This window comes from Homo sapiens, chromosome Y (genome assembly GCF_000001405.40).
Source record: "Homo sapiens chromosome Y, GRCh38.p14 Primary Assembly".
Taxonomy (NCBI): Eukaryota; Metazoa; Chordata; class Mammalia; order Primates; family Hominidae; genus Homo; species Homo sapiens.
In genome coordinates this window covers 727815-740022 of record NC_000024.10, presented here as the reverse complement: position 1 = coordinate 740022, position 12208 = coordinate 727815, and the positions used below count along the sequence as shown (strand labels likewise).

Sequence of the window (12208 nt, the reverse complement as noted above, 5' to 3'; positions counted from 1 at the left end):
CTTTATTTTGCAAAATATATTGATTGTACCTTGACTCTTGGATAATGGGCTTCTCCAGTCTGTTACACGGATTAAATCAAGAGCAGTCAATGGTGCCCCTGGTAGTGACGAAGAATGCCTAACGTGTAGACAGATCGGCCACCCGTCCCTCCACGTCTGCTCTGACTTGAACTTCAGATTCATTTGCTTCAGGACAGCGAATCTTGCATTTACTTCAAGCCACACAGGAAGGCGACCCAGTCAGCAGAGTGGCCCCGGGATGCATGTTTGGAATGGAGTCCAATTCCATGGGAAAAATCCTGGGTTTGGCTCCTGGAGGCCTCCACACACTGCAGCTGCTGGTGCTAGTCAGTGGCTTCTAAGGAACCAGGTCCCACAGCAAGAGGTGAGCGGTGGGCAAGCAAGCAAAACTTCATCTGTGTTCACAGCCACTCCCCATCTCTCCCATTACGGCTTGAGCCCCACCTCCTGTTAGATCAGCAGCAGACGCATTTGATGCTCATAGGAGCACAAACCCTACTGTGAACCGTGCATGTGAGGGATCTAGATTTCACTGCATGCTCCTTATGAATGCCAGATTCCCCGTGGCTGGTGGCCTCCCGTAAGCCCATCGTGCCCCTGAATCTCCTTCTGCCTTTATTACGCTATGGTGTTTGCTGGGCAAACATGGACAGAGTATGCCAGGGGCCCCCGGATTCCCATGACAAAGTGTGACAGTCTCAGAGGTGGCCTTTGAGAGGGACGAGGGGTCTGACTCAGTGGGGAGGGGTCTCTCAATGGGAAGTCTCTCTGGGGAGGGTCCTTCGTGACTCTGGACAGTAAATATGAGATTCCTGGGCTGACCATGAGAGGAGCAGGTGAAGCACCTGTTCACGAATACACACGCAATACCGAGAGGCACTGATACACTCTCAATGCCACAATGCACACAATGCCACAATGCATTGATATACATTAAATGCTACAATTCACTGATATGCACTGAATTCCACAGTGCACTCATATGCACTCAATGCCACAATGCACTGATACACCCTCAATGCCACAATGCACTGATATGCACTCAACGTTTCAATGCACTGATACATGCTGAATGTCACAATGCACTGATACACACTCTATGCCACAATGCACTCATATGCACTCAATGCCACAATTCACTGATATAGATTAAATGCCACAATTCACTGATATGCACTGAATTCCACAATGCACTGATACGCACTCAATGCCACCGTGCACTTGTACACACTCAATACACACTAAGTGCCACAATGCACTGATATGCACTCAATATTATGATGCACTGATACATGCTGAATGCCACAATGCACTGATACACACTCAATGCCACAATGCACTGATACGCACTCAACATTACGATGCACTGATACGTGCTGAATGCCACCATGCACTGATAGGCAGTCAACGCTGCAATGCACTCATAGGCGCTCAATGCCACAATGCCCTGATATACATCAAATGCCATGATTCTCTGATACACACTCAATGCCACAATGTACTTGTATGCACTCAATGCCACAATTCAGTGACATAGATTAAATGCTATGATTTACTAATGTGCACTGAATTCCATGATGCTCTCATATGCACTCAATGCCACAATGCATTTGTACACACTCAATACACACTCAATGCCACAATGCACTCAATGCTACAATGCACCAATATATATTAAATGCCACAATGCACTGATATACATTAAATGCCACAAGGCACTGATATGCACTTAATGCTTCTAGGCATTCATATGCACTCAATGCCACAAGGCACTTGTACACACTCAATATACACTAAGTGCCACAATGCGCTGATACACGCTGAATGCCACAATGCACTGATATGCACTCAATCCCACAATGCACTGATACACAATCCCACAATGCACTCATATGCACTCAATCCCACAATGCACTGAAAGACACTCAATCCCACAATGCACTGATATATACTCAATCACATAATGCACTGACAGACACTCAATCCCACAATGCACTCATATGCACTCAATGCCACAATGCACTGATACGCACTCAATCACATAATGCACTGATACACACTCAATCCCACAATGCACTCATATGCACTCAATCCCATAATGCACTGATACACACTCAATCCCACAATGCACTCAAACACACTCAATCCCACAATGCACTCATATGCACTCAATCCCACAATGCACTAATACACACTCAATCCCACAATGCACTCACATGCACTCAATCCCACAATGCACTGAAAGACACTCAATCCCACAATGCACTGATATATACTCAATCACATAATGCACTGATAGACACTCAATCCCACAATGCACTCATATGCACTCAATCCCACAATGCACTAATACACACTCAATCCCACAATGCACTCACATGCACTCAATCCCACAATGCACTGAAAGACACTCAATCCCACAATGCACTGATATATACTCAATCACATAATGCACTGATAGACACTCAATCCCACAATGCACTCATATGCACTCAATGCCACAATGCACTGATACGCACTCAATCGCACAATGCACTGATACACACTCAATCCCACAATGCACTCATATGCACTCAATCCCATAATGCACTGATACACACTCAATCCCACAATGCACTGATATATAGTCAATCCCACAATGCACTCATACGCACTCAATCCCACAATGCACTCAATCCCACAATGCACTGATACACACTCAATCCCACAATGCACTGATACACCATCCCACAATGCACTCATATGCCCTCAATCCCAGAATGCACTGATACACATGCAATCCCACAATGCACTGATACACACTCAATCCCACAATGCACTCATACACACTCAATCCCACAATGCACTCATATGCACTCAATGCCACAATGCACTGATACACACTCAATCCCATAATGCGCTGATACACACTCAATCCCACAATGCACTGATATATAGTCAATCCCACAATGCACTCATACGCACTTAATCCCACAATGCACTCAATCCCACAATGCACTGATACACACTCAATCCCACAATGCACTGATACACACTCAATCTCATAATGAACTGATACACACTCAATCCCACAATGCACTTATATGCAATCAATACCATGATACACTTGTACACACTCAATACACTCTAAATGCCTCAACGCACGGATATACCATCAATGCCACTACACACTGATACACACCGAACGCCACAATCCCCTGATACTCATTGAATGCCACGAACAGGGCCATGGGGGGCACGTCCACAAATCAAGACCTTCAGAAACTGAAGTTGTGTGATCAAGTGCCATGGAGAAAACCCCCAAGGGAACTGCCTCTTGAGAAAGGTGAAGGAGGAGTCTCCAAGCAAAGGCTGGAATGCTGGTGGGTGGCCAGGGGAGGTCTGTGGGAACTGCATCATCCCAGCAGTCGGCTTGGACATCACCAGGACCTGGGGGTGAGGGTGAGTTTGAGGTGCTCAGAGCAGCAGAAACTCCAGGGAGGGAGAGTGGGGATGAGGAGATGGGGGCAGGAGGAGAGGAGAAGGTCTCAAAGAGTCAGGAATTTTCGGGGTCTTTTGGACAAGGTTGGTCTCAGGTCTTAGCCCAGGTGTCACGGACGGGTGTTGTAGGAATTACTGAGCAAGGGCCGGGGCTGAAGTCCAGCAACCAGATGTCCACAAGGATGTGAGTGGCTGGAGGAGGGGCTCTGTGTGGGACGTCGGAAGGGACTCAGGGGCCAAGGAGGGGGTTGGTATGACATTCAAATGGTGTTAAAAGCTGGTGGCAGAGACCTGTTTGAAGGCCTTCCCTTCTAATTGGGGGTTGCGGAAATGTTGGTTGAAGGACACAGAGCGTCAATTTGTCAGGAGGAAAAAGTTCAAGAGCTCCAATATATGGCATGGTGACTGGTAACATTGTATCCATTTACAGTGCAACAAGATAACATTGTTGATAATAATATACGTATTGTTGACTTAAAAATGGCTGAGTTGATGTTACTCTTTCTCACCACAAATCAATAGTAAGTCTCAGAGATAGGGCATTGGCTAATCAGCTTAATGCCACGAATTCTACAGTGTCAAAACCTCATGGCACACAACCTAAATATGTACAACTTTCAGTTGTCAGTTAAAACGTTAATGAGGCTGGGTGTCGTGGCTCACACCTGTAATCCCAGCGCTAGCATTTTGAGAGGCCAAGGTGGGAGGATCGGTTGAGGCCAAGAGTCGGAGACCAGCCTGGGCAACAAAGGGAGATCCTGTCTCCACAAAAGAATTTCAAAATTAACCAGGGGTGCTGGTGCATGCTTGTAATCCCAAGTTCTCGGGAGGCTGACGTGGGAGGATCATCGGAGTCCAGGAATTGGAGACCAGACTAGGGCACCAATTGAAACTGTGTCTCTACAAAAAAAACAAAAATTAAAATTAGCCAGGTGTGGTGGTGCATGGCTGTAGTTCCAGCTACTGAGGAGGCTGAGATGGGAGGATCGCTTGAGTCTAGGAGCTCAAGATCAGCTTGAGAAACACAGTGAGACCTCATCTCTGCTAAATGAATAAACAAACAAACAAACTAGCCAGGTGCAGTGGTGCACACCTGTAGTCCCAGCTACTCTGGAAGCTGAGGTGGAAAGATCACATGAGCCTGGGAGGTTGAGGCTGCAGTGAGCTGAGATTGCATCACTGCACTCCAACCTGGGCAACAGAGCAAGGACCCTGTCTCTTAAAATGCAATGCAATGAAGCCTGTAATCCCAGCACTTTGGGAGGCCGAGGTGGGTGGATCACGAGGTCAGGAGTTAGAGACCATCCTGGTCAACATGGTGAAACCCCATCTCTACTAAAAATACAAAAAATTAGCTGGGCGTGGTGGCAGGCACCTGTAGTCCCAGCTACTCGGGAGGCTGAGGCAGGAGAATGGAGTGAACCCAGGAGGCGGAGGTTGCAGGGAGCTGAGATTGCACCATTGCACTCCAGCCTGGGCGACAGAGCGAGACTCCATCTCAAAAAACAAAAGCAAAAACAAAAATGCAATGCAATGAAGTTTTATTTAAAAATAAATAGAAAAAGAAAATTAAAAGCCTCTCTTGAAGATCCCGAAGACCAGAAGCTAACGCCAGGCTGTGAAAACAGTGTCCCACAACACTCGTTTTATCTACACCAAAATAAGCTATGTAGGAAGAATCTGCAGGTCTTATTCCCCTCCCCAAGATACTCTGTAGATGCCCCAAAATGCTTCCCACCCGGGGCAGCTCCCCCACGAGCCGCCGCAGCCTCCAAGAAAGAAGTTTCTTCTCCACCTGCACCTGCGGATTCTCATCCCCCAGGTCCCCGTATCTCTGGCCGGTGCTGGCCGTGCTAGACACTTTCCGCAGCCCTGCAAAGCAAAACCTCAGGCAGATGCAAAACCATCATTAGGATGGCAGAGTCGTCCTCACGCAGAGTGAGCAGACCAGGGCGAGATCAAAGGCAGAGTCTCCGGTGGCGGCCTCGGGGGTCCTGGCCATGCCATCAGGAGGGCCCCCCCACTCTCTCTGGGGACCCTGCTGTGATCAGAGATTGAGCTCATGGGGGCCGGGCCGCTCTGTGACCGTCCCAGCCCCCGTTCAGGCTTTTGGGAGCATCTAGGAACTGCCTGCTTGCTGTTCATTGCAGTTAATTTTTTTTTTCCGCTTCCAATGCAGGCTGGTCCTTGCCTCTCTCTAATAGATCTAATTATCAGAAAATGCACTTTGCAATCAGTCCCACACAACACCGGCCTTCTCTTGCAGTATGCCAGCCAGCTGTTTTGAAAAGTACAGCTCAAATCTCTTTGCTGCCACATGTTGAAGCAGATGAAAGTAATTTTCTGCTCAACTGTCTATAAGTAATTAGGCTGCCATGTAAAAGGGGGTCTTTATGCATCCGTTTGGAATGAGGTACCCTCTGTGCATACGGAGTAATTATCAGCCATCCTCTTCCACAGTAAGGTACATCTTATGCATTTTACATGAGCGCCGGTTATTAACATAACCTGACGATCAAAAGCCCTCTGGATCGGCTGTCTTCCTTTTCATGTAACGGGCTGAAATTCCCCAGAAATATAATAATTTGAAAACGGGGCAATGGTGATTTGTTTCAGCTGTAATTTGTTAAGTTTTTTTTTTTCCTCCTCTTTGTTATTTGCCTAGTATAGACCAAGGGCTGCTGGGGGCTCCCATACACACAAACAAGTGTTCTGCCTGCCCGGCGAGGTGGGTTTTAATATGCAGAAGGGGTCTCGGGGCTGCAGACGCACAGATCGAATGCCTTCATCTTATTAATTAGGAGGTCAGGAGAAGAGTTGCATTTGGCTAAGTGAGTCCTGTGCAGAGAAGGACCATGGTTCCAAAAAACAGTTTGTAGACACCCCAACGAGACACAAACTATGTTTGTGCTTTTCAGATCATCCGAGTGGTGGGCGAAGAGGTTTGTGTGGAACCTTAGGACACCATCTTTATGTCATCTAATGCATCAGACAAACAGTGCTGGGAATTCCATGCCCATTGGCCGTTCTGTGCCAGCACGATGCCTGGACAGGTGGCACTCTGCGGGTGACAAGAAAATATAAGGTTAAGAGAAGTTTAATGTCCGGGCGTGGTGGCTCACGCCTGTAATCCCAGTACTTTGGGGTGCCAAAGTGGGTGGATGACTTGAGGTTCGGAGTTCGAGACCAGGCTGGCCAACATGGTGAAACCCTGTCTCTACTATAAATACAAAAATTAGCCGGGCTTGGTGGCGGGTGCCTGTAGTCTCAGCTACTCAGGAGGCTGAGGCTGGAGAATCGCTTGTCTATTTGGACGCCTGAGAAGACATTTATTGAAAATAATATTTTGAATGTATATCTGAGATGTTATTCATAGTTCTTTTTATTATTATTATTATTACTATTTATGGAGGTGGGGTCTCACTATGTTGCCCAGGCTGGACTGCAGGGGCACGATCTCAACTCACTGCAACCTCTGCCTCCTGGGCTCAAGCGACCCTCCCACCTCAGCCTCCCAAGTAGGTGGGATTACAGGCACACACCACCACACCTGGTGAATTTTTGTCCTTTTTGTAGAGACACGGTCTCACCAGGTGGCCTAGGCTGGTCTCAAAGCCCTGGGCTCCAGCGATCCTCCCACCTGAGCCTCCCAAAGTGCTGGAATTGCAGGCAGGAGCCACTGTGCCTGGCATTTCCCAGGTTCTTTTTTTTTTTTTCTTTTTTTTTGAGACAGAGTCTTGCCCTGTTGCCCAGGCTAGAGTGCAGTGGCACAATCTTGGCTCACTGCAACTTCCGTCTCCCAGATTCAAATGATTCTCCTGCCTCAGCTTCCCACGTAGCTGGGATTACAGGTGTCTGCCACCACACCCAGCTAAATTTTGTATTTTTAGTAGAGACGGGGTTTCACCATGTTGGTCAGGCTGGTCTTGAACTCTTGACCTCGTAATCCTCCCGCTTCGGCCTCTCAAAGGGCTGGGATTACAGGTGTGAGCCACTGTGCCCAGCCTGCTCCAGGTTCTTAAAGGCCAAATGGCCACTCCAACTAGTCAAGCATAAACTGCCAGGGAGATTGGAATTTTCTAAAGAGTCCCTGCAATTTTTTTTGGAAAAAGCATCACAAGGAAAACTTGGCCAGAGGGATTTTTTTGGATATGAAGACGATGCCAAGGAAAGATAAGGCTAAGATAAGTTTAATGGCCGGGCACAGTGGCTCACACCTGTAATCCCAGTACTTTGGGACTCCGAAGTGGGTGGATGCCTTGAGGTTAGGAGTTCGAGACCAGCCTGGCCAACATGGTGAAACCCCGTCTCTACTATAAATACAAAAATTAGCCAAGCATGGTGGCGGGCACCTGTAGTCCCAGCTACTTGGAGGCTGAGGCAGGAGAATCGCTTGAACCCAGGAGGTGGAGGTTGCAGTGAGCCGAGATCACAGCACTGCACTCCAGCATGGGTGACAGAGCGAAACTCTATCTCAAAATAAAAAAGTCCGTCTTTATCTGCAATTCTCTTTGTAAATTATTTTACCCCTGCTTACCTGAGACAATATCTATAAACACAGAAAGTAGATTCGAGGTCACCAGGGGTTCAGAAGTGGAAATGGGGGTGACTGTTTAATGGGGTTCAGGGTTGCCTTTTGGGGTGACGAGAATGTTCTCGGACCAGAGAGAGGTGACAATTCTATAACATTGTGAATGTACTATCGGCTCCTGAACTGGACGCTGTAAATTGGTTACTTGTATGGTATGTAAATTTCACTACCATAAAATCAAACTAAAATTCTGCCCAGTGAATAATATATATTTAGCCCTTACCTTATACCATGAAGAGGCGATGGGTACAATTCAAAAACAGCCGTCGTTGGAAGCAAAGTCCAGTTTAGAGCGGGAGTTTTTCTCCACCCCTCTGCATTCATTCGACAGAAAAATGCTCAAGTCCCAGGAGGGGTCAGGCACAGCTCCAGGGCAGCATTCTAGAAGGGACACCCCCTAAGGTCTCCGTGAGAGAGATGGGAGGTTCCAGAAAAGACTGAACAGGCACAAAGAAGCAACCTTCGAAAAAGGGAGCAGAGACTGGGCGCAGTGGCTCACACCTGTCATCCCAGCACATTGGGAGGCCGAGGCGTGTGGATCACAAGGTCAGGAGTTTGAGACCAGCCTGGCCAACATGGTGAAACCCCGTCTCTACTAAAAATACAAAAATTACCTGGGCGTGGTGGCACACACCTCGTGTAATCCCAGCTACTCAGGAGGCTGAGGCAGGAAAATCGCTTGAACCCGGGAGGCGGAGGTTGCAGTGAGCCGAGATCGCACCCCTGCACTCCAGCCTGGACGACAGAGAAAGACCCCATTGAAAGAAAGAAAAAGAAAGAAAGAAAGAAAGAAAGAAAGAAAGAAAGAAAGAAAGAAAGAAAGAAAGAAAGGAAGGAAGGAAGGAAGGAAGGAAGGAAGGAAGGAAGGAAGGAAGGGAGGGAAAGCTGAAAGAAAGAAAGAAAGAAAGAGACAGAAAGAAGGAAAGAAAGAAAGAAGAAAGAAAGAAAGAAAGAAAGAAAGAAAGAAAGAAAGGAAGGAAGAAAGACAAAGAAAGAAGGAAAGAAAGGAAGGAAAGAAAGGAAAGAAAGGAAAGAAAGGAAGAAAGGAAGAAAGAAAGAAAGACAAAGAAAGAAACAAAGAAAGAAAGAAAGGAAGGAAGGAAGGGAAAGGAAAGATGAAAGAAAGAAAGAAGAAAGAAAGAAAGAGAAAGAAAGAAAGAAAGAAAGGAAGGAAGAAAGAAAGGAAGAAAGAAAGAAAGACAAAGAAGGAAAGAAAGAAAGGAAGGAAAGAAAGGAAAGAAAGGAAGAAAGGAAGAAAGAAAGACAAAGAAAGAAAGAAGGAAAGAAAGAAAGGAAGGAAAGGAAAGAAAGAAAGGAAGAAAGGAAGAAAGGAAGAAAGAAAGACAAAGAAAGAAAGAAAGAAAAAGAAAGGAAAGAAAGAAAGGAAAGAAAGGAAGAAAGGAAGAAAGAAAGACAAAGAAAGAAAGAAAGAAAAAGGAAGGAAAGAAAGGAAAGAAAGGAAGAAAGGAAGAAAGACAAAGAAAGAAACAAAGAAAGAAAGAAAGAAGGAAAGAAAGAAAGGAAGGAAAGAAAGGAAAGAAAGAAAGGAAAGAAAGGAAGAAAGAAAGACAAAGAAAGAAAGAAAGAAAGAAAAAGAAAAAGAAAGAGAGAAAGAATAAAAGGGTAGCAGAGACTGCTGCAGCTCCTAGGCGTTACAGCTGACGGCAGCTGGACAGATTTAGCTGGACACAAAAATCCCGGGAAAAACGCCACAACACTCTGGCCCTGACTTCTGACCTGGGCGTTGGCGGGGCTCAGCCCGTCTGTTGTGAGTTCTGCAGGACCCCATGTCTCACGTGTATTAAATGCCCAGCTGACCTCTGACTGGGGCGTTAGCAGGGTCTGGTCCCATCTGGGATGAGTATTGAATGTTCACGTCCACTGTGTGTACCTGACCTGTGCCCAGGATGTTAGCAGTGCCTGGACATGTCTGTGGTGAGTTTTGCAGGGAACCCGCATTCCCTGTGCATTAAATGCCGCCGTCTGCCGTCTATACCTCAGCTAAACTGGCCTGGGTGTTAGCAAGGACCAGGACTGTCTGTGGTCAGTTCTGCAGGGAGCCCACATCCCCTGTTCCCATCTTCTGTGTGCACCTGATACTCACCAGGGTGTTAGCAGGGCCTGGTCCCATCTGTACCTGACCCAGTCTGACCTGGGCGTTAGCAGGACCTGGGCTTGTCTGTGGTGAGCTCTGCTGGGAGCCATCGTCCCCTGTGCATTGAATACCGGCGTCCACTGAATGCACCTGACCTGTGAGTGGGATGTTAGCAGGGCCTGGACCTGTCTGTGGTGAGGTTTGCATGGAGTCACGTCCCCTGTGCATTGAATACCGGCGTCCACTCTCTGCACCTGACCTGCGACCGGGGCGTTAGCAGGGCCTGGACCTGTCTGTGGTGAGGTTTGCAGGAAGACACGTCCCCTGTGCATTGAATACCGACGTCCACTGTCTGCACCTGACCTGCGACCGGGGCGTTAGCAGGACCTGGACCTGTCTGTGGTGAGGTTTGCATGGAGTCACATCCCCTGTGCATTGAATACCAGCGTCCACTGTCTGCACCTGACCTGTGACTGGGATGTTAGCAGGGCCTGGGCCTGTCTGTGGTGAGGTTTGCATGAAGTCATGTCCCCTGTGCATTGAATACCGGCGTCCACTCTCTGCACCTGACCTGCGACTGGGGCGTTAGCAGGGCCTGGACCTGTCTGTGGTGAGGTTTGCATGGAGTCACGTCCCCTGTGCATTGAATACCAGCGTCCACTGTCTGCACCTGACCTGTGACCGGAGCGTTAGCAGGGCCTGGGCCTGTCTGGGGTCAGTTCTGCTGGGAGCCCACATCCCCCCTGCATTAAATACCAGTGTCCACTGTCTGCACCTGACCTGTGACCGGGGCATTAGCAGGGCCTGGGCCTGTCTGGAGTCAGTTCTGCAGGGAGCACATGTCCCCTGTGCATTGAATACCAGTATCCACTGTCTACACCTGACCTGTGACCGGGGCGTTAGCAGGGCCTGGGCCCGTCTGTGGTGAGGTTTGCATGGAGTCACGTCCCCTGTGCATTGAATACCGGCGTCTACTGTCTGCACCTGACCTGTGACCGGGGCGTTAGCAGGGCCTGGGCCTGTCTGTGGTGAGCTCTGCTGGGAGCCCACATCCCCTGTGCATTGAATACCAGCGTCCACTGTCTGCACCTGACCTGTGACCGGAGCGTTAGCAGGGCCTGGGCCTGTCTGGGGTCAGTTCTGCTGGGAGCCCACATCCCCCCTGCATTAAATACCAGTGTCCACTGTCTGCACCTGACCTGTGACCGGGGCATTAGCAGGGCCTGGGCCTGTCTGGAGTCAGTTCTGCAGGGAGCACATGTCCCCTGTGCATTGAATACCAGTATCCACTGTCTACACCTGACCTGTGACCGGGGCGTTAGCAGGGCCTGGGCCCATCTGTGGTGAGGTTTGCAGGGAGACACGTCCCCTGTGCATTGAATACCGGCGTCCACTGTCTGCACTGGACCTGTGACTGGGGTGTTAGCAGGGCCTGGGCCTGTCTGTGGTCAGCTCTGCTGGGAGCCCACGTTCCCTGTGTGTTGAAGGTTTTCATCCTCTATCTGTACCTGACACTCACCAGGGCGTTAGCAAAGCTGGGCTCATCTTTTTGCGGGTGCGTTTGATCTTCCTTAGTGAACGCTCACGTCTCCTCTTCTGAAGCTTGCCTGAGATTACGTCGGTCGTGGTCATCATCCATAGAACCTCCTCCTGGTCCCTCCTGCTTTTCTCATAGAACAAAGTAGGGCTGCCCCACAAATCTAAATAAATAAAAGAGAAAGGAACTCAGAAGACAATCTCTCCAGGGCTCCCTCTACCTGCAGGACGGGGTGATGCCGAAAACGTGTCTTCCCGCGAATTTGCAGCGTCCAGCTCAGCCCAGGGGCAGCGCAAGAGGGAGGGGCCCACATCACCCTGGACTGTGTCCATCATCTCCCTTGGCTGCTGGCCAGGCTCAGAACAACAAGGAGAGCTGGCCTTGGCTCTCTCGTTGCCTCTTTTATATGGGACCAGGCCCTGCCTTCCAGGTGGTGTCCCCACTGTCCTCAATGCTCAGTCATCAGAAACACTGCAACCTTGGG

The 12208-nt window shown here is 48.7% G+C and overlaps 2 annotated features.

The window, feature by feature from the left end:
* Positions 5420–5921: an enhancer, noted in NCBI's record as "H3K4me1 hESC enhancer chrY:644837-645338 (GRCh37/hg19 assembly coordinates)". NCBI's record gives its function as "activates a minimal SCP1, AML or CMV promoter by ChIP-STARR-seq in naive H9 embryonic stem cells {active_cell/tissue: H9 hESC(naive)}" and the evidence as "EXISTENCE:reporter gene assay evidence [ECO:0000049][PMID:30033119]".
* Positions 10853–11353: an enhancer, noted in NCBI's record as "H3K4me1 hESC enhancer chrY:639405-639905 (GRCh37/hg19 assembly coordinates)". NCBI's record gives its function as "activates a minimal SCP1, AML or CMV promoter by ChIP-STARR-seq in naive H9 embryonic stem cells {active_cell/tissue: H9 hESC(naive)}" and the evidence as "EXISTENCE:reporter gene assay evidence [ECO:0000049][PMID:30033119]".